This window comes from Homo sapiens, chromosome 4 (genome assembly GCF_000001405.40).
Source record: "Homo sapiens chromosome 4, GRCh38.p14 Primary Assembly".
In the NCBI taxonomy this organism is placed as follows: Eukaryota; Metazoa; Chordata; class Mammalia; order Primates; family Hominidae; genus Homo; species Homo sapiens.
This window is the reverse complement of record NC_000004.12, coordinates 154,182,430-154,210,404: the sequence shown is the minus strand read 5'-3', so window position 1 is coordinate 154,210,404 and position 27,975 is coordinate 154,182,430. Positions and strand designations below refer to the sequence as shown.

Below are 27,975 nucleotides of genomic sequence, written 5' to 3'. Positions count from 1 at the left end.
AGTACCATATGCTTGGCATAAGGTAGAAGCAATCAAAACTAAGAAGCTGTCTTGTATTTATGAACCTCTAAAAGTGGGCCTAAGAGTGCTTTGAAAACTTGCAAGCTCCATGGAACAACCTCAGAGAAGCTGAGTGATCTCTTCCAGTCCCAGGCACAGTCAAAGATAGAACCTCCTGCAATTATTTCCCTGACTCCTAGACCCTTCATTACCCTACCCTAGGAGGCTAGGAATACCCATTCTCTATGATTTGCACCCATTTTCTGTAACTAGCCTCTGGTCTGGCTTGCCCTTAGTCACACCTCATCTTGTACCGTGGTTCCAATAACTGTATCAAGATCTTGTCCTCAGGTGTTCTCCTGAATTCTTAGCTGGCTGTTAGGACTGTCCCTGTCCACCACACCTTCATAGCTAGCTGAGAAGTGGAGTCACTTCTCAGCAGTTTGGATACCTGTGCTCTTGTCTTGCTTTTCAAACTCTTCAGCTATTGTTATCCTCCCTCTGAGTCCCTGGTCCAAAGCTGTCCTTCATACCTGTGCTTGTGTTAAAAGAGCATAAATAACAATGAGTCTAGCCCTGCCAATTCAGAATGACATCTCTTAGATGCTGGCACTGTGCTGGGATTTGGGGTACAATAACAAATAAAGCATTGTTCCTGTCTGGAGTTGCTAACAGTCTAGAGCCAGGGTTCCCTGTCTGTGGCTTCAGGGTCATCAGAGGTTCCTGAAAAGTCACATGTGCTCTGGGCATTTTCAACCATAGTGTTCGTTCTGGGGTTTGGAGTTTTGTGTTTCTTAATCTGTTTCTGTGTGTAGTCTCTTTCTTGAGGACACAGCATACACTGTTTAATAAATATGATTCAATAATAATAATTGAGTTTGGAGTTCTTTCTGACTTTTTCAGAGAACATTCCACTTTTAAATGAAGGCATTGTCATTTTCATTTCTTTTTAAATCTTCAACACTTTAAATACTCATAACAGTAGACCTGTGTTACATGATTAAAATGTTGTAAGTCATTTGATATATTGTCCCCAGATGGGAGATGTAAAATAGGATGTTTGTCCACAAATCCTCTTCCAAAACTTAGCAAAGAAGTGGGTAGGAAGGAGCAGTACAGTTTGCCAGTTCTCTGGATGTGTTTATTTAGTTCATCTGCTTGCAAAGCATTTCTGTATCTCATTTGTTTTTATTCCAGGAAAAGACTGACAAATGAGTTATAAAATTCCCACTATATATATGAAGAAACTAAGCATAAGTGAGGTCAGAGAATCTCCCAGAAATAACATATTTGACAGTGGCAGTGTTGAATCCAGGGATTGAAAATCTAGCACGGGTGGGCCATGTGGGTATAGGGGACTTTCCAGTTCCGCTTCTGGACACTGCCCGTTCTTTGTCTATCCCATGGGTTGGGTGGTCTCTATGGTCCTTCGAGCCCCTCATCCAGATATCCAGATAGCCAGCCTCCTGTTCATTTGTTCTCCACTTTCTTCCCACTTCTATGTCTAGCACCAAGTGCACTTTGATTGTTAGGCCTTCCCATGTCCCTGAGACATGGGCGATTAGACCCCCCAGGAGAGCTCCCCAAGATGCTCAGAATCCTACTCCTAAATCATTCTAAGGAACCTGAGAGGAGGAAGAGTCCGGGAACTCAGAGCTCACATCCTTTCCTATGCAGATAAACTCAGTAACGCACATCTACATAAAGGTGGGACAAAATTCCCAGCAGCAGGGAGAAGACTCAGCAAGGCCCTGGTGGGGGCAATTCTAGGCGGACGTGAGTCACTGACACTCACTGACCTCACTGGGCGGTGCCCTCCTGAGCACTCAGCCACACCCACAGCCCCTTTGCCTTTGCATCACAGGGGAGAAGCAGGTGGAGAGGAAAAGCACAGAAACATGTCTGGCCCTGACCACAGGGCACAGCTTCCTGAAAGAAAAAACTTGGATTGTTCATAGGAAATAATGGAACAAGCATTAGTTAATCTAATTATGGTATTAAAAACAAACAAACAAACAAACAAAAACAGAGGGTTTCCCGAATGATTTCTTTGCTGACTTCTCACTTGGGTTGAGAGACCCAGGAAGAAGCAATAAGTATGTCACAGTCCAACAGGGTTTGGCCCACCATCTGATAAAAATGAGTGTCCATGCTTACAATAACAGCTAATATTTATTGTGTGTGTACTAGATGCCAGACATGCTCTAAGTGTATAATCTCATTTTGTCCTCAAATAACCCTAGAAATTGCCATTATTTCCAATTACAGATACAAATCTATTTGGGAATATTCTGGGTACTGACCTACTATTTGGTCTAAGGCTTCTACATCTTTTTCAACTTGGAGAACATTTTGGAAATTTTTTTTCTCAGTCAATCTTCAAAACACAAGATTTCTTGGCCCATTATTTATACAGGTTCTATAAGAGTAAAATAGGTTCTCCCCTGGGGAGAGGGACTTTAAAAAGTGCGAGAAATAGCAAAGACAGGAGGTTGTCACTCAAACAAGTAGATATGCTAAAGCTGCCAGCAGAGACAGACTAGCAGGTAGTGGAATAATAATTAATATTTTATTACTCTCAGAGCTTCATTCTTTCATTAATGTTTGAATAAGATAGGTCTGTTTTATAATGTTTTCTTATGTGTGTTTCTGGGTCTACTTACTTCTCCTGTATGTTTTGTCTTTTTTCCCCCTTTCAGGTTTTTTCTTTCTTGTTTCTGTCATTCAGTTTCAGGTAGCCTTTTGGGTCTCTTTTTGCTTTGAAGATTATCTCTTTTTTTTTAATCCTTGCTTTTTGTTGGAGGAGTCTTTACCTCTATCATTGTCATTTGTTAAAACTATGTTATTTTTCCATTCCTCTCTTTTCATCCACTTAGCCAATTGTGATCTGTTTTCATTCATTCTGTTTTTAATTACAAGCTTCCTCGCATGGTGCTTTTTCTCTGCTCTCCTTCATAATTTTCCTTTATCTCTTCATAACTAATTTTTTTCTCTAATTAATGGGAAGCTTATCTAACTATTCAAGTATTTATGATTTCTCCCTAATTGGTCCTTCTTTCTCCTTTCCTTGGGATCTTCCTCCAGCACTCAATTTGGTAATGCACTGAGTTGAAACAGAAGGATCTCACAATTTTTCCATTACTCAGTCATTCTCTATCTTTCAGAAACAAGTTCATGAAATTACCTACAGTGCCTTTAGGCTATAGTTCTCCCTTTAGCTTAGATTAAAATGTGACAGGTGTAGCTGGAAGTTACCTACATTAATCACAGACAGAATATAAGGAACAAAGTGCATCAGGAGGTAAGGACTGGAGTGCAAGAGCTTCTAACTAGTGAAAGCAAGGTACTTACGTGTGCAGACAGTCAGAAAATGGTCCTCTCAATCAATGATGTGGGAGATGAGCTGGAGTTTCCTTTGTCTCCCTGAAGTTGTAAATCTTTGAAAACAAAAGCAATTTTGAAAAATATAGTTAAAAATGTTTCATGGGGGTCTCACTGCCTTTTTTTGGAGACAATTTTCCAGGCCACCTTGCATTTGTTTGGTTCTTATTTCCAAAAGGCATTGGCATTATCTCAATTCATCTTATTAATAACTCTAAGAAAAAAAAAAACTGCACTGAAATTGCCCAGTTCACAGGTGAGCTTTCTCAGGGATGGAGTTTCACTTGTTCAATCTAATGTAAGATTTAATAACAAACAAGGTTTTCGGTCTATGTCTGTTGAGTTCTGTGCTTTCTCAAGATTTAGTTCCCTGCCACTCTCATCTTCCCTACGCACTCCCTGCTTCTATATTCCTGTTTTCTCTCCTTTTACAACTTTTGGAATCTTTCATATTTTATCACTAGAGAAACAGGATGATATGAACTAACTGAGGGAGAAGAAAATAGTCACCACTTTCATGTGTTCTAATGAAGTTGACCATACTCGATATATCTAAACCTCGCCTAGGAATTATTCAGATACAAAGATACTATCTCTGAGGGGTTCATTAAAAATTCAATTGAGGCCGGGTGTGCTGGCTCACACCTGTAATCCCAGCACTTTGGGAGGCTGAGGCGGGCAGATCACGAGGTCAGGAGATCAAGACCATCCTGGCCAACATAGTGAAACCTCGTCTTTACTAAAAATACAAAAAATTAGCTGGGCGTGGTGGTGCACGCCTGTAGTCCCAGCTACTCAGGAGGCTGAGGCAGGAGACGTGCTTGAATCAGGGAGACGGAGGTTGCAGTGAGCTGAGATCGTGCCACTCCAGCCTGGGTGACAGAGCGACACTCTGTCTCAAAAACAAACAAACAAACAAACAAAAACAACAAAAACAAACAAAAATTCCATTGAAGAAAACAGATAAATCAAGGATGAAAATGACAGTGAAGGCAGGTCTGGCCCACTGTTTAGTAGGGAGGAAGTCTAAGAGCCTCACATAGTGAGAAGGCTGAGGAACAGAAGGCCAAATACTTATTTTAGGTTTTATTTTTACTGCCTTTATTGCTCTTAACTCCGCAGACTTCTCTAGCAACAGCAGCAGCTATGACCCTCCCCAGGTTCTGGAATGCTCAGAAATCTAAACTCTGCCTCCCACTGCTTCTGTGTGGAGGGAAAAACAACTGAACATTCCCCAAAAAGCTTCTTATCACAAGTGTCTAAAAATTCTTTGAGTGTGCTCTCAAGATATGCTGTCATGTGTCAGCTTCCTTGTTTACTTTTTCAGAGCCTCAAGGGACTGAAACCTGTGGTTTTGTGAAACACAATTCCTTTTTTACTATCATTATCCATAAGCTTGTGCTCAAGGTCACCCGTTTTACTGTTCACGTTCACTTTCAACTAGGCCTGAAATGATACCAAAGAGATGGAAGGAAGCTTCTGGCTTTATCCCAAGTGAAGCAGGCACCTCCCTGTTTTAGCATATGATTCTGCTTAGCTTCCTATAGCTCGTCTTTCTCCATTTGACTTGCTTGCTCACTCACTTGCAATTGTAGGCATTTGCTTTATCATCCTTTGGTGAAGATGAGGGTGAAAGTGAGTGTGAGAGAGTATGGAAAATGGGTAGGAATGGAGGAACAACTGAGCAGATATGCTGTCTGGCCACCTAGTCTTCATAAAAAATTTGATAGCCCCTACCCAAAAGAATATAAATCATTCTACTATAAAGACACACACACATTTATGTTTATTGCAGTGCTATTTACAATAGTAAAGACGTGGAACCAACCCAAATGTCCATCAATGACAGACTGGGTAAAGAAAATGTAGTACATATACACCGTGGAACACTATGCAGCCACAAAAAGGAATGAGATCCTGTCCTTTGTAGGGACGTGGATGAAGCCATCATCCTCAACAAACTAACACAGGAACAGAAAACCAAACACTGCATGTTCTTACTCATAAGTGGGAGTTGAACATTGAGAACACATGGACACAGGGAGAGGAACATCACACACTAGAGCCTGTTGGCGGGTGGGGGTTGAAGAGAAGAAATTTAGAGGAGGGGTCAATAGGTGCAGCAAACCACCATGGCACACGTATACCTATGTAATGGCTTATGTAACAAACATGCATGTACTGTACATGTATCCCCTTTTTTTAGAAGAACTAGAGAAAAAAATAATAAAATAAAATAAAAAATTTGATAGCCCCATTGCACTACTTGATGGGAGAGGCCAGCTGGGATGGCAGAGGGTCTGTGGTCTGTGGTCATAATTCTTGGTCTAATCTAAGTTGATGAAAACTGCTCTTGGAAATATTTATTAATAGTTCTGAAGCCAACTTGAATAACAAATCTGGTGTGAAAATAGATCTTATCCTGTTTCCCTGTCGTCAGTCACTTTTCTGATTTCATCCTGGAATACAAACATATCAGATAAATTTAGTCTGTCTAAGGAGAAGCATTATATGTTTTTAATGACCAATAACAATTTATCTTGAGAAATCTGTTTTCCACTAACTGATGTAGCCCAGTAAATGGCTAAGGGAATTGTATTTTTTCATAACCAACAACTCTCTCGGTGATGCTTTTCCAAATAGGTGCACAAACCAAGAAAAAATATGTCATAAATGTTATTGAAAAAACTAGTTTTCTGAGACAGTGAAAACATTTGATTTATTTAAATTAAAGCAGAATGGCAGTGGCTTGCGTTTAATTCATGTTGTCTATGAAATTGAAGCAATGCATTCGTCTTGATTTTTCATGCTCATTGTCCCTCTCTTTAAATGGTCAACTTCAGTTGCCTGTTATTTGCTCAAGTTGTTTACCTTTGAGTATGTTTTTGACCAACAATCAAACAAGTGTATTGAAATGTCATAGTTTAACACATGGTCAGTAGTCTCCTTTAGAAAATCCATTTGTCCTCACAGAGTATTTACAGCCCCCAAAAGATGTTATTTTCTTTGATAATGAAACAATGTTGTGCTTAGGAATTTGGTAATGGGAATAGACTGTTTGCTAGTACCCAAAATGCTAAAATTGAAAGAATCCTCATAAATATTTAGAAGCTAGCATATGCAATCACTTAAAGTTTGGTGTGTAGGTACCTTCCATGAATTTCAGAGTCAGCTTGGCAAAGGAAGATGACTGATTAACACATGTTCCAAGTAATTTTGTAAACTGATACTGATCACTTCTAAAATCCTCTTAAACTTCACAAATTTGAGATGTGTGGAAAGGTATATAGAAGTATCTTAATTTTGGAGATAAAATCTTCATATTTTTTACACCAAACTCTGCAAGTAAAACTGATAGTTTATGTTAAAATGTCATTTTTTGCAACTAGCACAAAACTAAAAAGTGTTTTAAATACCTCAAAACAGGTGACTGTATAAGAAACCCTGTGCCTCAGAAATGAATATGTAGAAATGTGTTTTACCAAAATCAGGGTTATATGAATATATTTTCTTTTCTTTCTTTCTTTTTTTTTTTTTTTTTTTTTTTTTTTTTTTTTTTTTTTTTTGAGATGGAGTCTTGCACTGTCGTCTGGGCTGGAGTGCAGGGGCACAATCTCAGCTCACTGCAACCTCCACCTCCTGGATTCACGCCATTCTCCTGCCTCAGCCTCCTGAGTAGCTGGGATTACAGGCACCCACTACCACGCCCAGCTAATTTTTTGTATTTTTAGTAGAGAAGGGGTTTCACCATGTTGGCCAGGCGGGTCTGGAACCCCTGACCTTGTGATTCACCTGTCTCGGCCTCCCAAAGTGCTGGGATTATAGGCGTGAGCCACTGCGCCCAGCTATATGAATATATTTTCTAAGTGTGCCTTAGGTTGTACATGTCAACAACATTATTTATAATTAACTTATACCAGCATTTACATACATTTTTCTTTTATAGAAAAAGGTCATCATCACACACAAGGCTAAATTATAGGAATGTATAGAATAATTTTTAAGGAAATATTATTTTTTCCTTTTACATGGAACATGTAAAATAGTATCATTTATAAGTGAAATGAGGTGAAATAAATTACAGTTCTCAATAGGCTTGCACTAAAAACCCCAAAGACCTTTATATTACAGGAACCTGCTAGTCCTGAAAACGAAAGGCAAGCTAAAAGAATCTTTACTGTTTCAGCTCCCTTAGTTTGGAAAATGTAAAAACTGCTCTGAAAACAGAGTATTTTATTCTTAATAGCTCAAAACATTTTCAATGAGGAAATGATTTTCAATATTCTATTAAGCAGGAATCATAGGAGGGATGTTTATGCAAAATTCTGGATTAGTAGAGTACAAATTAAATAGTAATTATAGTAAAACAGAAACAGATTGTCCAATCATAACTCTAGAGGTACTTTAAAAATTCAGCCACAAAGCAAGATTTGGGAACATGTTGTGATTATTGAGTGACCGTGTGGGTAGCAGCTGTCTTCTGAGTTTGGAAGGGGCTAAATGTCTGAGTTTCCAAAGCTTTATTTGTCATAGGATGCCATATTGAAATGGCTTATCAATCTTTCCCCAGAATTTAGTTCAAGAGGAAGATGACTATGAACTTCAGAGTAAAAATGAGTAGCCAAGCTTTCATCATGGGAGGAAGAAAAGATTTATAACCAGACACATATGATAGTCATTTACTTTATTATTAATGCTTTTGAACCTAAGTAAATTTAGTATTGCAGGTATCACACAAAGAAGGAATCCTTCTCTGGGCTGGAATGAACTCAGAGAAAGGATCCATGGATTACCCTGGTGAACCTGATACTTTACTCTGGACGATTTTTCCCATCACTCCCTATTTATTGCCGTGTTGTCCTCCTTTATCCTTCCATTGTGAATCACACAAGCTCATATCATGGATATAGGAGGAAAACAACACCTCTGATCCCAGGCCAAGCTCTGAATTAACCAAGACATACAGCAGGACTCTTGTGGATAGAGATCAATAGATCTGATTTAATAGTAACAAAGCTATTTGTTCAATACAGTTAGATGTAGCCAAGCTCTGAATTAACCAAGATATACAGCAGGACTCTTGTAGATAGAGATCAATAGGTCTGATTTAATAGTAACAAAGCTATTTTTTCAATACAGTTAGATGTAGCCAAAAATGAGCTTGATAACGTTATTCAAAATTAAATACTCACCCCAGAACATAAATTTTCTGCAAGCAGACACCTCCACCAAAAGAAAGCAGAAGCCCAGTCTGTCTCCAGAACTCAGCAATCACCCTAAATGGTAAAGAGAACTCAAGAGTGTTACTCTAATTCACTGGTTCTCAAATGTGTTAGAGGGCCAAGGCACCCATAAACCCTTTCCAGGAATCCACAAAGTCAAAACTACTTTTATGATGACACCATTGCCTTTTTCACTCCCATTTTCTTACAAATATATAGTTGGGTTTCCAGAGGCTATATGACACATAATATTGTAACAGATTGAATGTAAAATTCAGAATCCATCTGATTCCCATTAAAGACATTCATTAAATTGATTTTCAAAAATGTAAAACAATGCCACTTTTCTCACTAGGTTATTTCCTGAACTATTTTAAAAGCTTTTAGTTTTGGACACCATTTTAAGCTTACGGAAGAGTTACAAAGATAGCACAAACAGTTCCAGTATACCCTTCACCCAGTTTCCTCTGTCAACATTTCATATAATCATAATGCAGCTACCAAAACTAAGGAATCAACATTGATATAATACTACTAACTAAACTACAGAATTTATTTGGATTTCAAAAGATTTTACATTAACATATTTACTCTGATCCAGGATCTAGTTCAGGGTACTACATTGCATTTAGTAGTCATATCTCTTTAGTATTGTCTGATCTGATAGTCAGTTGTACTTGTCCTGCATGACCTTGACATTTTAAAACAGTACTGGTAAGAGATTTTGTAGAATGGCCCTCAACTTGGGTTTGTCTGATATTTTCTCATGATTAGATTAAAGTTACGGATATGCGAAGGGAATGCCACAGAGGTGGTGATGTGTATTTCTCCGGGAATATATGATATCAATATGTCTTGACACTGGTGATAATAAATTTAATTATTTGGTTAAGGCTGTGTCTACCAGGTTTCTCCATAGTAAATCACAACTTTTCACTTTGTAATCAATAAAAATTTGGTCTATGCAAAACCTTATTTATCCTTAAACTTTTGCCCACTAATTTTAGCATTTATTGGTGGATTGTATTATTATGGTGTTCTAATGGTGATTTCCTATTTCCCTCATTTCATTTGATGTGGTTTGGCTGTGTCCCCACCCAAATCTCATCTTAAATTGTAGCTCTCCTAATCCCCACATATTGTGGAAAGGACCCTGTGGGAGGTAATTTAATCATGGGGGTGGTTTTTCCCAGGCTGTTCTCCTGATAGCGAATACGTCTCATGAGATCTGATGGTTTTATACAGGGCAGTTCCCCTGCACACGCTCTCTTGCCTGCTGTCATGTAAGATGTTGTTTACCTCTGCCATAACTGTGAGGCCTCCCCAGCCATGTGGAATTGTGAGTCTATTAAACCTCTTTTTGCCTATAAATTAACCAGTCTAGGGTATTTCTTCATAGCAGTATGAAAATGGACTAATACACCATGTAAATATGTAGTTTAAATAACTCTGTAAATGTTGTTCTTTATCACTCACTTATTTATTTATTCAATCATTAACATATCAATGTGGAGTCATGGACATTTATCTTATTCTTTAGATTGCATATATTATCATAAATTACATTATTGCTCCAATTGTTCCATCTTTGGCCATTGGAAGTTTTTCTTATTGGCTCATTTGTTCCTCTGAGACTTTCTTACTATCTGATACCACAAAATGTTTCAGCCTCATTTTGTACTTTTCCTGCTCCAGCCCTGGATCAACCAGTTCTCCCAAGAAGCCTAGTTCCTTTTACTGAAGATGGTATTTAGAAATCAAGATCTCTGAGTGCTGGGTGTCCTCATTGCTGTGGGAATACCACTGTTTCCAGATCCTAGAGTATAGAAATATATGTATGTATACAAACTAATGTCTATTTATCCATCTATCTATCTGTCATGTATTTGTTAAAAACCATAAGTTCATCTGGCAATTCAAAAAGCTAGAGCATTTCATTACATCCAAAGGATCACACTAGCTTCCTAGCAATGGATCCTAATGAGATTGAAATGTCTGAAATGACAGATATAGAATTCAGAACCTAGATAGTGAGGAAACTCAACAAGATCTAAGAGAAAGTGGAAATCCAATCCAGTGAAACCAGAAACACAATCCTAGATTTGAAAGATGGCATAGATATATTAAGAAACAACCAAACTGAATGTCTAGAATTTTAAAATTCACTAGAGGAATTTCAAAATATAATTTGAAGCCTTAACAGTAGGCTAGACCAAACAGAGGAAAGAATTTCAGAGCTCAAGGATCAGTCCTCCGAATCAATCAAGCCAGACAAAAATAAAGAAAACCTAATAAATTTTAATATGGACAAAGCGGGATTATATAAAGTGAACCAAATCCACAACTCAATGGCATACCTGAAAGAGAAGAAGAGAGAATAAACAACCTGCAGAACATATTTGAGAATATAATCCACAAAAGTGTCCCCAATATTACCGGAGAGGTTGACATGCAGATTCAATAAGTTCAGAGAACTCCTGCAAGATACTATGCAAGATGACCATCCTGAGGCACATAGGTATCAGGCTTTCCAAGGTCAATGGGGGAAAAAAAATCTTAAAGGCAGCTAGAGAAAAGGGTCATGTTACCTACAAATGGAATCCCATCAGCTTAACAGCAAACTTCTCAGCAGAAACCTTATAAGACAGAAGAGATCAGGGTCTATTTTTAGCATTATTAAAGAGAACAACATTTCAACGAAGAATTTCATATCCTGCCAAATTAGGCTTCATAAGCAAAGGAGAAATTAAATATTTCCCAGATAAGCAATTGCTAAGAGAGTTCATTACCACTAGACAGGCCTTACAAGAGATGCTTAAGGGAGTTTTAAACATAGAAATGAAAAAAGGACACCTGCTACCACAGCCCACAGACCTTATAAAGCAACTACACAATCAAGTCTACAAAGCAACATGGTGACAACACCATGACAGGAACAAAACCACACATATAAATATTAATCTTGAATGTAAACAGTCTAAACACACCACTTAAGACACAAAGTGGCAAACTGGATTGAAATAAAGCAAGACAGAACCTTCTGCTGTCTTCGAGAGACCCATCTCACATGCAATGACACCCAAAAGCTCAAAGTAAAGAGATTAAGAAAGATCTGTCATGAAAATGAAAAACAAAAAAAGAACAAGAGTCGCCTGGGGGCAGTGGCTCACACCTGTAATCCCAGCACTTTGGGAGGCCGAGGGGGGCAAATCATGAGGTCAGGAGATCAAGGCCATCCTGGCTAACATGGTGAAACCCAGTCTCTACTAAAAATACAAAAAATTAGCCAAGCATGGTGGTGGGCGCCTGTAGTCCCAGCTATTCGGGAGGCTGAGGCAGGAGAATGACGTGAACCCAGGAGGTCGAGCTTGCAGTGAGCCGAGATCCCGCCACTGTACTCAGCCTGGGAGACAGAGCAAGATCTCAAAAAAAAAAAAAAAAAAAGAGCAAGAGTCACTATTCTTGTATTAGATAAAACATACTTTAAACCAACAATGGTAAAAAAGGGAATTACACAATGATAAATAGTTCAATTCAACAAGAAGACTTACTTACCCTAAGTATATATGCACCCAACATTGGAGCTCCCAGGTTTATAAAACAATTACTTCTAAACCTAGGAAGAGACTTAGTCACACAATAACAGTGAGGAACTTCAATACCCCACTGACAGCATTAGACAGATCATCAAGTTATAAAACTAACAAAGAAATTCTGGACTTAAAAATTGAACACTTAACCAATAGGACCTTATAAATATATAAAGAATATTCCACCCAACAACCACAGAATATAAATTATTCTTATCTGCACATGAAACATACTCTAAGATCAACCACATATTCATTCATAAAAAAGTCTCAATAAATTCAAAAAAATTGAAATTTTAACAAGCATATTCTCCAACCACAGTGGAATTAAAATAGAAACCAACAATAAAAGAATTCTCAAAGCCACACAATTACATGGAAACTAAACAACTTGCTCCTGAATGACTTTTGGATACACAAAAAATAAGGCAGAAATTTAAAAATTCTTTGAAATAAATGAAGATAGAGACACTACATACCAAAACCTCTAGGATGTATCTAAAGCAGTGTTAAGAGGAAAGTCTATAAAGTTAAAAACCTACATCAAGAAGATAGAAAGATCTCACATTAACAGTCTAATATCATATGCAAGGAACTAGAAAAGAAAGAATAATTCCAAAGCTAGCAGAAGAAAAGAAATAACTAAAATCAGAGTCAAACAAAACAAAATCAAGACTCAAAAAATCATACAAAGTATCAACCAAATAAAAAGTTAGTTATTTGAAAGGAAAAACAAGATTGATAGACCACTAGCTAGATTAACAAAGAAACAAAAAACGAGAAGATCCAAAGGAGTACAACCAGAAATGACAAAGAACAGATTACAAATGATCCCAGAGAAATTCAAAAGATCCTCAGAGACTATTATGAATACTTCTATGTGCGCAAACTGGAAAATCTAGAGAAAATGAATATAATCATGGAAACACACAGTCTCACATGACGGAATAGGAAAAAATTGAAACCCTAGACAGATTAAGAATGGTTATGAAATTGAATCAGTAATAAAAAAACCTACCAAACAAAAAAGCTCTAGATTAGATGGATTAATAGGCAAATTCTACCAGTGAAAAGCCGGTACCAAGTCTACTGAAACTATTCCAAAACATCAAGGAGGAAGAATTCCTTTCTGTATTAGTCCATTTTTACACTGCTGATAAAGACATACCGGAGACTGGGTAATTTATAAAGAAAAAGAGGTTTAATGGACTCACAGTTCCATGTGGCTGGGGAGGCCTCACAATCATGGCAGAAGGCAAAAGGCATGTCTTACATGGCAGCAGTCATGAGAGAGAATGACAAACCAAGCAAAAGAGGTTTCCTCTTATGAAACCATCAGATCTCATGAGACTTATTCACTACCAAAAGAACAGTATGGGGGAAACCACTGCCATGATTCAATTATCTTCCACTGGGTTCCTTCCACAACACATGGAAATTATGTGAGCTACAATTCAAGATGCGATTTGGGTGGGGACACAGCCAAACCATATCACTCCCTAACCCATTCTACGAAACCAGTATCATCCTAATACCAAAATCAGTGAAAGAGACACCAAAAAAAGAAAACTGCAGCCCAATAATCCTAATAAAATCCTCCACAAAATATGAGCAAATCAAATCCAGTAGCATATCAAAAAGTTATTTCACCATGATCAAGAAGGCTTCATTCCTGGATGCAAAGTTAGCTCAACATACACAACTCAATAAATATGATTCACAACATAAACACAAATAAAAACAAAAAAGATATGATCAACTCAATAGATGCCAAAAAGCATTCAATAAAAATTCAACGGCCCTTCATGATAAAAAAAAAAAAAACTCAACAAATTAGGCATTGAGGGAACATACCTCAAAATAATAAGAGTCATTGATGACAAACCCACAGTCAACATCATACTGACTGGGAAAAAGCTGGAAGCATTTCCCCTAACAACTGGAACACAAAAAGAATGTCCACTCTCACCACTTCTATTCAACATAGTACTGGAAGTCCTACCCAGAGCAATCAGGCAAGAGAAATAAATAAAAGCCATCTAAGTAGGAAAAGAGGAAGTCAAATTATCTCTCTTTGTTGATGATATGATTATTTACCTAAAAACCCTGAAGCCTCCACCAAAGGGCACCTAGACCTCATAAACAACTTTAGTAACATTTCAAGATACAAAATCAACATAAAAAAATCAGTTTTTCTGTACACCAATAACATACAGGCTGTGAGCAAAATCAAGAACATAATCCCATTTACAATAGCCACAAAAAAATAAAATACCTTATATAGCTAACCAAGGAGTTGAAAGATCTTTACAAGGAGAACTACAAAACACGGCTGACAGAAATCATAGATGACACCAAAAAAATGGAAAAATATTCCATGCTCATAGATTGGAAGAATCAATATCCTTGAAATGACCATACTGCCCAGAGCAATCTACAGTTTCCATGCTACTTCTATCCAATTACCTACATCATTTTTTCACAGACTTAAAAATAAAACTATTCTAAAATTCATTCATATGGAACCAAAAAAGAGCATGAATAGACAAAGTAATCCCAAACAAAAAGAACAGAGCCAGAGGCTTCACATTATCAAATTTCAAACCATACTGTAAGGCTACAGTAACCAGAACAGCATGGCACTGATACAAAAATAGACAGAGCAATGGAACAGTCTAGAGAATCCCAAAATAAAGTCATGTGCCTACAGGCATCTGATCTTTGACAAAATCAACCCATAAAAAAACAACAGGAAAAGGATCCCCTGGTCAATAAATAGTTCTGGGAAAACTGGCTAGCCATATGCAGAAGACTGAAACTGAACCCCTACAAATGCAGAAATTAACTCAAGATGGGATTAAACACTTAAATGTAAGACCTCAGACTATGAAAATCCTAGAACAAAACCTAGGAAGTATGTGTCTAGAAATTGGACTTGGCAAAGAATTTATGACTTAGTCCTCAAAAGCAGTTGCAAAAAACCATATCCAGTGACCTTCATTCCTGCATGTAGATACATATTTCCCTCCAGTATTATTTTCTCTCTGCCTGATGGCCTTTATCATTTCCTGCAAATCAGGTATGCTAATAAATAATGAATATTTTCAGTTTTTGAATGTCTGCAAAAGCATTAATTTTGTCTTCATTTTAAAAGATATATTTTTTCAGCTATTGGATTATTTTTGATGAAAAATATACTGTCATTTTCAGTATGAATTATATCATACTGCTTCATTGTATGCCTAGTCACTTTTGATTAGATATAAACATTGTGAATCTTATCTTGTTGGGTGCTGGATATAATATATGATATAACTTAAATATTGTATAATATTTTATATTATTTTAATAAGTAAATTAAATAATAAATTTTATAATATTTTATAATATTTTAAGTTATATTAACTTAATATAACATAATATTTTTAAATAACTAATATAACTTAAAATATTTTTAAGCTTTGTTCTGAGATGCAGTTAAGTTTCTTGTAAATAGCTTAACCCTTTTGAGGTGTACTTTTCATCTTTTTTTTAAGGGAGATCAAAGGAACTTTTAGTCTAGGGCTAATTTTTCCTTAGTACTGAAGCTATATACTTCTGAGTACCCAGTGCCTACATATTACAGAATTATTTTTCCACTTTGACTCATGGGGACACAAACTACTGCCAGCCAGGTGTGAGTCTCATGAATGGTTCTGGGTGTTCCTTTCAGGTAGTTCTTTCTCAGTGTTGTATTCTTTTATATGTATGCTCATTAATACTCAGATGAAGACTTGAGGGAGCTGTCTGCACATTTCTGATACCCTGTCTCTGTGTAAATGAACTTCTATTTATATTTTGTACTCTACCATATTAACTTGAAAATAGATCATAGACTTAATTATAAAACTTAGAAAGGTAAAATTCACTGTATTTAAATCATATATTAATTTAAAAATCAAAAAAGGAAAAATTCTATTATGGTAAACATTGTAGATTGAACCCACATTAACAAGAGTTCTTTTTGTTTTTAAGAATTGTTAAGAACATAAAGGGCTCCTAAAAGCAAAAATGATTAAGTACCACTGATCTACTGGAACTTCTCACACAGGCACAAATGAATGGTGGGGAGTATGTCCCTCTCAAATAGTTCTCTTCATTATTTATTCTCCAGGGCTTATGGATACTCTTTTCTAATAATAATGATTATCTTTTTTTTTCAAGAAGGAGTTTCACTGTTGTTGCCTAGGCTGGAGTGCAATGGCACAATCTCAGCTCACCACAATCTCCACCTCCCAGGTTCAAGCAATTCTCCTGCTTCAGCCTCCCGAGTAGCTGGAATTACAGGCATGTGCGACCACACCTGGCTAATTGGTTCTTTTTTTTTTTTTTTTTTGGTTGTTTGTTTGTGTGTTTTTTTTTTAGTAGAGATGGGGTTTCTCCTTGTTGGTCAGACTGGTCTCAAACTTCCCAACCTCAGGTGATCCACCTACCTCAGCCTCCCAAAGTGCTGGGATTACAGGCGTGAGCCACCGTGCCTGGCAATGATTATCATTTTTAAGTCCTTCCGTGAGTCTCACAAGCACTGCATATAGTACCACATTTAATCCTTATGCAACCATATATATTAACCTCTTGCAAACAAGAAAAATGGGTGTCAAAGATATTAATTAACGTGCCCAAGTCACATAAATCAAGAATTGGAATTCAGTCCAATCCTGTCCAATTCAAAAGCCCATGTTTCTCCACTACATCAGGGTCAGAGTAAAGTGATGAAATAATGCCCTCAGCTCAGGAGCATTGCTGAAGTCAGGTCAGAGTTACCTCTTCTGCCTGTCCGTTCTGAGGGACTAGCTTCCAGAATAAGAAATGGATAGGGTGATACCAGGTGGTACTGGGGCCTAGAGTTGCCTGAGGTGTCCTGGGAAGATTCCACTGCATTATTTGAAGGATGAAGGAGGATAGAGGGGGAAGTTTAGGACTCTAATATATTTCCCCTTTTGCCAAGGGTCTGAAGATCACAGATAAAGGAATAGGTGCATAATGACCAAAGACTTTGTGAGGATCTTACAGGCACAAAATGAAGAGAGTGATATTATTATGCCTTGGGAATGTAAATGTAAGCTTTCCCATTCCCAAGACCCTTTCTGGGAGTCTGCAAGGTCAAAACGATTTTCATAATACTTAGTTATTGTTTCACTTATTCATTCTTTATCTTATACAGTGGAGTTTTCCAGAGACTACATGATATGTGATATTGTAACACACAATCTACAGAAGCAGATATGAGAATCTAGCTGCATTACAGAGATTTGCAAAAATGCAAACCAACATTAATCTTTTTGTTATTGGGTGGGTCTTTGTTCTTAGAGCTCCCAAGATGGCGGTGGGCCACTCCCAAGATGGTGGCGGCCACTCCCAACATGGCAGCAAGCCTTTTGTTCTCTGACCTGGGGTTCTTGGCCTTACAGATTCCAAGGAATGGAACCTTGGGCCATGCAGTGAGTGTTATAGCTCTATTAGTAGCTGTGGGTCACGGAAGAGAACAGTGGAACCCAGCCACTAGTGTTCAGCTCGATTAGGATGAACCCGGGCACTTAGCCATGCAGGAACAATGGCGAGCCTCTAGCCCAAACGGGAGCGGCAATGGGCAATGGGCAATGGGCGCCTTGCTGGATCAGAAACGCAGTGGACACCCTGTCGGATCTGGAGGGGTAGAAGTCAATGGCGGGTCTGCCACGATGGTGAACAGCAGTGGATGATGAGCAAAAGCTCAGCTCGAGCCGGAACATTCACGGACCAGAAGAGTGTGCAGTTGCAAGATTTAATAGAGTGAAAACAGAGATCCCATACAATGGGAGGGAACCCAAAGAGGTTTGCCCACTCCCGGCTTGAATGCCTGGGGTTTATATCCCAATCATCATCCCTCACCCCATGCTCTCAGATGATAGATGATTTGACTATTTCTTTACCTCCTGATTTTAGCCTAATTGGTATTTTAGTGAGCCCTCTTTACTACCTGATTGGTCAGGTGTGAGCTGAGTTACAAGCCCCTGTTTAAAGGTGAGTGTGGTCACCTTCCCCAACCAGGCTTAGGAATTCTTAGTCGGCCTAGGAAATCCAGCTAGTCCTGTCTCTCATTTTCACCAAACTGTTTTTTGTTCTGGAAAATATAGTTAATTTTCTTAAATATATCTTATGTTAATATGAAAAGTGCTTATTACTGTTATTATAAATAAATTAATACATATTTTTATTTAAATTCATCATTTTAATTTCTAATATAATTATCAACACATAGATTCCACAGAAACAAAAACTCTTTGGAGTCTCAACAGTTTTTAAGAGTGTTAAGCCATCCTTAGATCAAAAAGTTTGAGAATCACTGGCTAATACCACCACTGAAAGATAACTAAGCTGTGACCCACAGAGTTGAAATGGATTACCCAAAGTACCTACAACCTGGCAGAGCTCAGACACAAAGCCAGGATTTCCCACTCCAAATGTTTTAATAACACCGGTCTGACCCTCTCTCCATCCTAAGTGAAGCCTTTCTCTATTTCCCCATTCTGTCTGCCCAACTGTAGACACTATATCCAAAGGCACATTGTTTTTTGTTTGTATGCAAACTTATCTAATTTTAGTTATAAACAAGGGTCACAACTTGCCACCAGCCATGCTGCCCCACCCCTCTTCAACACAGATGACCTCTCCATCCTCACCTGGTTTGGAACTACTTTAAATATAACTCATTCTCCTCCTAGAAGCTCATAATTGGAAACAGACTTTGGATCTTTTCTCCATCTCCAGGGTGGTCCTCATTGAGCTCTTCCCTTGCACTACTATTTCAAATTCTGTTTCTCCTTTTTAATTCTTTTGCATGATACTGTGTTTGCATAAATCGAGGATTTCTATAAATGAGCTCTGGAAAGCTTAGCCTGTTTCAAGGTTATTTAGAGAGCAAAAGGAATGTGTCTTCATGTGTGGGGGCAGGAAAGATGGCACAACCCAGTCAGCTCACTCACTAGCAAACAATGTGTACACTTTGGGAAGCAAGGACATCATTGCTGTGGATGCCAGCGGACAACTTCATCCACTGGAGAAGTTTCTTTTGTCTTCAGTCGGTGCCTAGGGAAACAAGTGGAAAAGGACTAGAAAACAATTTCAAAGACAGATAGCACCAAATTACCTTCCTCTAAGATAAATAAAGGTTCATGCAAATATTGAGACTAATTGCTTAAAACTTGCAAACATCTGCAGAGGAAAATCAATTATCTAATTCATAAAATCACTGCTGAATTAGGAAAGATAGAGGGCATGTCTAATAGAGGTCTTCTCTACATTCCACTGTCCCAGGTACAATGCAATGTACCTAGTACATTGAAATCACTGCACACTTGGGCAATTTGGCCACCTCTGGCCTCAGACTTTGTTGCAGGTGGCTGGGGTGGTACCTCAGCATTTTGAGCAGTCACAGCTATTGGATAAATAGAACTGATCAATAGGTTCTCTCTGGTAAGTCCTACTTCCCACACAGGTAATGCATCTTACCAATAATACACCAAACATTCTTGATAATTCTTTGTAAATTTTTCCCTTTCTAATTTTCTTTAAGATTTTTTATTTGTTGTCTTTTATGTGAACACTTGATTAAAGGGAAATTCCTTGATAGGTTTGTGGGAGATCATGCCAGAAACGGTAGAAATTTGAACCAGTCCCCTGTTTATCCCTTCCAGAGTCTTCAGGATGGCTCGGGGACTGATTTCAGTAACGAAGTACCAACCTGGGGGATGTTTCATTGTCTGCTGTTAATTAATTTGTTTTCCCAATGTTTAGATTCTTCCTGGAGAATAAATTTTTAGCCAAGTGGTGAAGAGATTCTCATTATTTTACTCAGGACTTTGAAGATTGGGTGTACCTTAGCTGAGCTTCCACACTATCACCAAGACATGTGTAGAGAAACTTTTCTCTAGGGGCCACTTCTGCAGAGCACTGACGAATGGAATCAGGAAAAGAAAGGGAGGTTTGAGCTTCTGCACCTACCCTCTGCTAGAAAGGGTCATTTCCTCCTTCATATTTTCTGTTTTCCACTGGACTTTTCAGAGATGTTTTAAGAACCATTTATTGCTGTGAACATTGAACTAATGAAACAAAACAATGAAACTAAATGTTTAGAAATGTTTTTAACTATTTTTACACTTCATAGTCATCCATTGAGCCACAGATTGAGCAGCAATCAACTTGTGAACATAAGAAATTTCTAGGCAAACAATAAATTTCTGTGTACTCTATATCCTCATGCAAAAACAGGTGCCAGAAGAGGCACATATGAAAGCTGAATTACACAACACAGATCTCCTTCTGCAGAAAAGGACAGTAGTAGGAACAACTGGTGCTTCGTTTTCAAATCCAATTCTCATTTATCGTCACAGAATTATTGCACTATCCTGAAACGCAGAGTAACTCAAGACCATGTTCAAAAACAGATTTGACAGACAAAGGTAACTTGCCTTTGTTTTAAACATTTAATAAATGCCTCTGAGACTAACAAAGCTTCCCAGGCGGTCTGTGAGGAACACATGAGCCATATTGCAGGTAACTCCAAGGCAGCCGGCACAACTGCTTAAGGACTTTCCAAATAGCAAAATGCTGCTGATGGAAAATGTGACTCTCAGCACATTGGCATGTGGCTTCTGTGACTGTTATCCAAGGAGAGGAAATGAGACCAGAGTGGGGATGAGTTGGTTTCAGCAACCCTGCCTGGCCACACCTGTCAGATTGAATGACAGAGACTCTAAAATAAAATATTAATACCCATCTCCTGAAAAATAAGCTCACGTGACTTTAATGAATTCATTTTGACTTCTCTTTATCTCACACGGGGATAAAAGCAGTTAAAAACAAACAGTTTGATAATCCTGACAACGGGAAAAAGTAGCATTTTTCTCCCTTCAAACAAATCACTTTTTCTTTATGCATTTTCCTTCAAAATAGTTCTATGCTTTCTTCAGAAAGAATTACACATGACTTGAGATTCCAGTGTATTATTTGGGGTGGGAAAAGCTGGCAACTGAAGCATAAAGCGCCATGTTTTTGCAATTATCTCTCTTTGGCATCCCCCTCATGTGCTCCCTAGTGAAGAGGCAGAGCTGAAATGTGGGGCTGGTCGTCTAAGAAAGAATGTAGTAGTGCTAATGGTGAAAATGTGCTAATTTTAAAAGGTAGTAAAGAGCATCCACGATACAGTTCTGTAGACTCACTTCTTATTTCTCACAAAAATACAGCTGTTTTGCTGTTGATTTTAATGCTACTTAAGTCTATAAAAATATTTTATTCAGACTATAAATAGTTTTGCTCAAATTAGCTTTGGAGCTCAACTGCATTATGCTTCTGCCCTCAGAGGGCAACTTGGAAATAATGGTGAAAAGAATGTGACCTCCAAGATCATCTCATGGGAAAAACGGCATAGTCCAGGTGAGGTTTTCCTCTTCTTATTCTCTTCTATTTTGATACATGAGAAAACAGATGGGGTTTTAAGAATACAGAATGTATCTTTGTTCTTCTTTGCTAAGCTTGAATAGAATTGGTTAAGAATTAAAGAATTTATCAACAAATGAAAATAGCGTAGAACACATGTGTTGTTTTCTAATTAAAATATCTTAAAAATTAATAAACACCAAATGTAGAGGTCTAGATAGAGTCACGCACTAGCATGAACACACACACATACGTAAGTGTGGAGGCGCAGGAGTAGTTTTCTGGGGTGTGTGTGTTTACTCATTACTGCCTCAGAACTACAACAGATATGGTTATGCCAGTCAGGTGTGTAGATGCCTACATTTAACACGCGAGTCTAGTCCTTGAGATATTAAAGTATGGATAGGGAATACAATACCCTGTAGCCTTGTTTTCAAAGGGACATTGACCTTTTCCTTGGTGCTTTTGGGGTAGGAGTGAGGTTAACAAGAGCTGTTAGCTAACTTCTGGGTCTTGGTCTTGGAAATAAGGCCTGGTGGGGAGTTGGAATGGCAGAAGGTGTTGCCAGAGAGGTTTGAGAGCAAGGAAGTCAAAGAGGTGCACAGGAGCCACAGAGAACGGTGAAAGCCAGAAGTTAGTCCTTGGGATGAAGGTGAGGAAATGAGTTTGAGAAACTAGTACAAACTACATATTATAAATGGAAAACTGGGCCAAGGATCGGAAACCAAAGAGACTGGGTACAGATGAAAACTGTAGTATGATACGGATTAAAAATGGACTATGATTGCCGTAGGTTGCTTTTGCTGCTATCACAAAATCCTGAGACTGGGTAATTTATAAAGAATAGAAATTAATTTTTTGCATTTCTGGAGTCAGAGGAGGCCATGATCAAGGTGCTGACATTTTGTGTCTGGTGAGGGCCCTCTTGCAGCATCCTCACTCACATGGCAAAAGACAAAGGGCAGGAAAAGGGCACATTCTCTCCAAAGCCTCTTTTATAAAGGCATTAATCCATTCATGAGAGTGGAGTCTTTATTATTTAATTACTTCCCCAAGGCCCTACCTCTAAATAGCATCACAATGGGGACTAAGGTTGAACATAAATTTTGGAGGTGACATCATCATTTGAACCATGGCATTCCACCCCTGGCCCCCCAGAAATCCATAACCTTGTTACCTACAAAGTACATTCATTCCATTCAAATTGCCCCCAAAGTCTTAACTGTTTCCAGTATCAACTCAAATGTCTAAACTCTAGAACCTCATCTAAATCAGATATGGGTGAGATTCAAGGTACTCTTCATCCTGAAGCAAATTACTCTCCAGCTGTGAGCCTGTGAAATCAAACAATATGTGCTTCCAAAATACAATGATGGGATAGGCATAGGATAGACATTCCCATTCCAAAAGGGAGAAATACGCAAAAAGAGAGGAGTAATAGCTTCCCAAGTAAGTCCAAAATCCAACAAGGCACACAACATTAAACTTTGAAGCTTGAGAACAATCTTTATTGACTCCAGATTGCACCTTCCAGACACACTAGGGTGAAGTTTGGGTCCCCCAGGCTTCAGGGACTCCACCTGCATGGTGTTACTGGGCACAGCCCATACTGCAGCTCTCATGTGCTGGCGTTGAGTGTCTGTGGCTCTCCCCAGGGTGGGGAGTTGCATGATGGTTGCTTTACAGATCTAGCATCTCAGGAGTAGCCCTGCCCCATACAATTCCATGAGGCATTGCCCTTTTGAGGGTTCGCTGCAGTGTCCCTACCCCTGTTGTTGCAGGAAAGGGGTTCGGATCCAGACCCAGAGAGGGTTCTTTGATCTCACACAAGAAATAATTCAGGGAGAGTCCATACAGTAAAGTGAAAGCAAGTTTATTAAGAAAGTAAAAGAATAAAAGAATGGACACTCCATAGACAGAGCAGCCCCGAGGGCTGCTAGTTGCCCATTTTTATGGTTATTTCTTGATGATATGCTAAACAAAGGGTGGGTTATTCATGTCTCCCCTTTTTAGACCATATAGAGTCACTTCCTGACATTGCCATGGCATTTGTAAACTGTCATGGCACTGGTGGAAGTGTAGCAGTGAGGACGACCAGAGGTCACTGTCATAGCCATCTTGGTTTTGGTGAGTTTTAGCCAGCTTCTTTACTGCAACCTGTATTATCAGCAAGGTCTTTATGACCTGTATCATGTGATGACCTCCTATCTCATTCTGTGACTTAGAATGCCTTAACCATTTGGGAATGCAGCCCAGTAGGTCTCAGCCTCATTTTACCCAGCTCCTATTCAAGAATGGAGTTGCCCTGGTTCACATGCCTCTGACCCTGTGGCAATTCTTTGCCAGGGCCCTGCGACTCTCTGAAGCATCCTATGAAATCCAGGTAGAGGTAGCCATGCCTGCACAGCTCATGCACTCTGAGCACCTGCAGAGTTAGCACCATGTGGACACTGCCAAGGTTTGCAGATGTGCCCTCCGGGGGACAGCCTGTGCTGCACCTCAGCTCACCGGAGCCCCAGCAGTGCGGTGACAGGGTGGGGGAAGTGGAGAGAGGAGTGCTGCACTGGAATGCAGGAAGAAGAGACGTGAGGAAGCCCTGGGTCCCTTCCTCCCTTGAAAGGGTCCTGTCTTTAAGGTGGTCCTAGTGCTGTAGGCCTGCGATGAGAGTAGCAGCATTGATTATCTCTGAAATGCCTTTGGGGTTATTCTCCAATTTTCTTAATGAATAGCATCTGGCTTCCTTCTAGCCACACTAATCTCCTCATCAAAAGGTCACTTGGCCACACCCTTGGTTTTCTCTTCTAAGCAATTTTTTATTCTTTACATGGCCAAGCTGGGAATTTTCCAGAATGTTTACGTTCACTTTTCCTTTTGATTATAAATTCCATCTTGAACTTGTTTTTCTCTTCTCACATTTTACTACAAGCAGTTAAGAGAAGTCATGCAGTGCCCTGAACACTCTGCTTAGAGATTACTTCTGTCAAATATCCTAGTTCATAGCTCTCAAATTCTGCATTTCATAAAACAGTAGGACATGGACACAATTTAACCGAGTTCTTCGTCACTTTGTAACAAGGATGGCCTTCCCTCCAGCTTTCAATAATATATTCCTCATTTTTGTCTAAGACTTCATCAAAATGGCTTTCACTGTCTACATTTCTACCAATATTTCTGTTCACATCTTAGATAATCTCCAAGATTTAGGCTCTCTCCATAGCTCTCTTCTTCTGAGCCCTCACCAGAATTGCCCTTAATGCTCTATTAGTGGTAATATAGGTTTTTTTCTGGCATTTATTTCAAAACCATTCTAGCCTCTACCCATTACCGAGTTCCAAAAGTGCTTCTGCATTTTCAGGTATTAAAGCAACACTCCACCTCTTTGGTACCAATTTCTGTCTTAGTTCATTTGTGCTGCTATGACAAAATACTTCAAACTAGGTAATTTATAAAGAGAAATTTATTTCTCACAGTCCTGGAGGCTGGGAAGTTCAGGATCAAGGTGTCAGCATTTGATATATGGTGAGGGCCATCTTGTTGCATCCCTACATGGCAGAAGGCAGAGGGCCATGAAAGGGCACATTCTCTCTGAAGCCTCTTCTATAAGGGCATTAATCCATTCATGAGGCAAGAGCCCTCACAACTTAGTCACTTCCCAAAAGGCCCTGATATGGCTTGGCTCTGTGTCCCCATACAAATCTCATGTTGAATTGTAATCCTTAATGTTGAGGGAGGGACCTGGTAGAGGTGATTGGATCATGGGGGCGGATATCCTCCTTGCTGTTCTCATGATAGTGAGTGAGTTCTCATGAGATCTGGTTGTTTGAAAGTGTGTAGCTCCTCCTCCTCCTCCTCCTTCTCCTTCTTCTTCTCTTTCTCTCTCTCCCTCTCTCCTGCTGCCATGGGAAGATGTGCTTGCTTCCCCTCCGCCCTTCTGCTATGATTGTAAGTTTCCTAAGGCTTCCCCAGCCATGCCTCAGCCTGTGGAACTGTGAGTCAATTAAACCTCTTTTCTTTATAAATCACTCAGTCTCCACCAGTTCTTTATAGCAGTGTGATAATAGATTAATACAGGCCCTACCTCTTAATACTGCCACAGTGGGAATTAAGTTTCAATATAAATTTTGGAGGGGACACCAGTTTTCAAACCACAGCAGTGATGCAAAACAATCAGGATATAGATGGTCATGAGGCAGAAAGGCAGTGAGATGGGAACAGTTATAGAAAATTGTGACACTGGATGAGCACGGAAAGTCTCAGAATGCCTCATGCTGGAACCACAGATTTAACAGACAAAGGAATTGCAAAACTCCGTTTGCTCTGCGGGCCTAGCCTAGGGTTGTCTCCTTATCCTGCGGGGGAGGGGGGAAATCCAGAAGTAAAGACAAGGCCTGACCCACTTAATAAGCCTTTACTGTGTGCGAATTTATGTGTATTTTGTTTTGAATGGTGGTTCATTTACCTTCGGTAATTTTTTTTAAACCTCAAAGAGAAAAATGGTGATAAAACATTTACCTAAATAGATGTAACTATCTTAAACTTTTACTCTTTTCTTATGCCAAACTCAATACGCCAATGCATTCTGAGAAACAAACATACAAGTAAACCCAAATTGGACACTAAAAGCACTTAAAGGCAATGCAGGTCATCCCTGAAGGTGCCTTGCAGAGAGAAGAAAGAGACTGTGTTGTGCATCTTTGGAAAGCGAAGTTTCCTAAAAACCCTCCCTGAACATCTCTTTCCCTCCAGGAATTCCACTCCTTGAGGCAGTGCCCACTGCCTTCCCCCGTCTCCACCTGCTTCTCCTATCTCCTCATCCTCCTTGCCCTCTTCTGCTTAGTTCCTCTTACCTCTCATCTTGGTTTTTGCTCTTAGCCTTTTCTCCTGTAGCACAGTTTGGCCTTCTCAGCGCTTCCCACTCTCTCTACCTATTACCTCTTTCTTTAGCAGAACAAACTTCAGGTACCTAACTTGAAAAAGTGTCCCTTCTCTTTAGAAGACATGAGAAAGGAAGGATTGAAAATACTTAAATTTTACTTTTCTCTGTCACACAAGGAATTCAAATCATTGCTCTGAGTTCCTTGCTCAATATGATACAAATTTGAGTCAAACATTTCAATTTAGATGTTGGGGGGGAGTGGAAAAAAACTGGATACAGCCAGTAGTCCTGGGTTGCTGTCCCAGCCCAGCCACTAAACTGATTGATGTGTCCCCTCATTAAGACTAGACCTTTCTTGAGCTCTGTGCAGCATGATGATGTGGGTCTGGACAATGGGAGCTTCAGGCGTAGCCACTACTTGTGTAGTGCATTACAGATTATAAAGCACATAAATCATCTCATTACATTTTTACATAGTCTGTGAGGCACTGGGGCCCCCATCTGACAATGATAATTGAGGGATTGGGTAATTTGTCCAAGGTCACACAGAGAGTAGCCAAGGCTGTATCAAAACACAGATTCTTTTTTTTTTTTTTTTTTTTTTTTTTGAGACAGAGTTTCTTACTGTCACCCAGGCTGGTGTGCAGTGGCATAGTCATAGGATCACAGCTCACTGCAATCTCAAGCTGCTGGACTTCAGCAATCCTCCTCCCTCAGCCTCCTGAATAGCTGGGTCTACAGGCATGTGCCACTGTGCCTGGCTAATTTTGTTAATTTTTTGTAGAGATGAGGTTTAACTGTGTTACCCAGGCTGGTCTCAAATTCTTGTACTCAAGTGATCCTCTCACCTTGGCCTCCCAGGGCACTGAAATTACAGGTGTGAGCCATCATGCCTGGCCAAACATAGATTTTGACATAGAAGCATGAAATTTTAGTGCATGGAATTTGATGATGCAAATCCCCTCGAAGACCCTTTTATTTATCCACCAAAACACACAGTCAAATACGTTTATCATCAGTGAAACCCAACAGCTTCATGGACAACAGATATTTCTGTTGTATTTTAACTCTTTATAAAAATTCATTCCCACCTATTAATTGTATTAGCATAGGACTCAATATTTCTTCCACTTTAATTGTCTTATATTTTGTATGAAATGATTGCATTAGTCTGTTCTCACACTGCTAATAAAAACATACCTGATACTGGGTAATTTATAAAGGAAAGAGGTTGAATTGACTCAGTACAGCATGGCTAGGGAAACCTTAGGAAATTTACAATATGGCAGAAGGGGAAGCAAATACATCCTTCTTCACATGATGGCAGGAAGGAGAAGTGCAGAGTGAAAGGTGGGAGGGAAAGCCCCTTATAAAACCATCAGATCTTGTAGGAATTCACTCACGGTCATAAGAACAGCATGGAGGTAAAAACCCCTATGATCCAATTACC

The 27,975-nt window shown here is 39.0% G+C and overlaps 1 long non-coding RNA gene across 2 annotated transcripts in view, besides 1 other annotated feature; it reads right to left on the bottom strand.

The window, feature by feature from the left end:
- The window catches only part of LOC101927947 (uncharacterized), a 469,997-nt gene that overhangs the window by 88,415 nt on the left and 353,607 nt on the right, over nt 1-27,975 (bottom strand). For both annotated transcript variants that reach the window (XR_007058336.1, XR_007058335.1), the window contains 2 exons: nt 8,574-8,657; nt 3,352-3,437 (listed from right to left, as the gene is read on the bottom strand). This is a non-coding gene — a long non-coding RNA (uncharacterized LOC101927947). The remainder of the gene's footprint in view (nt 1-3,351; nt 3,438-8,573; nt 8,658-27,975) is intronic.
- Nucleotides 20,762-20,962: a silencer, noted in NCBI's record as "peak5134 fragment used in MPRA reporter construct". NCBI's record gives its function as "represses an SCP1 promoter by STARR-seq MPRAs in K562 erythroleukemia cells {active_cell/tissue: K562}" and the evidence as "EXISTENCE:reporter gene assay evidence [ECO:0000049][PMID:32103011]".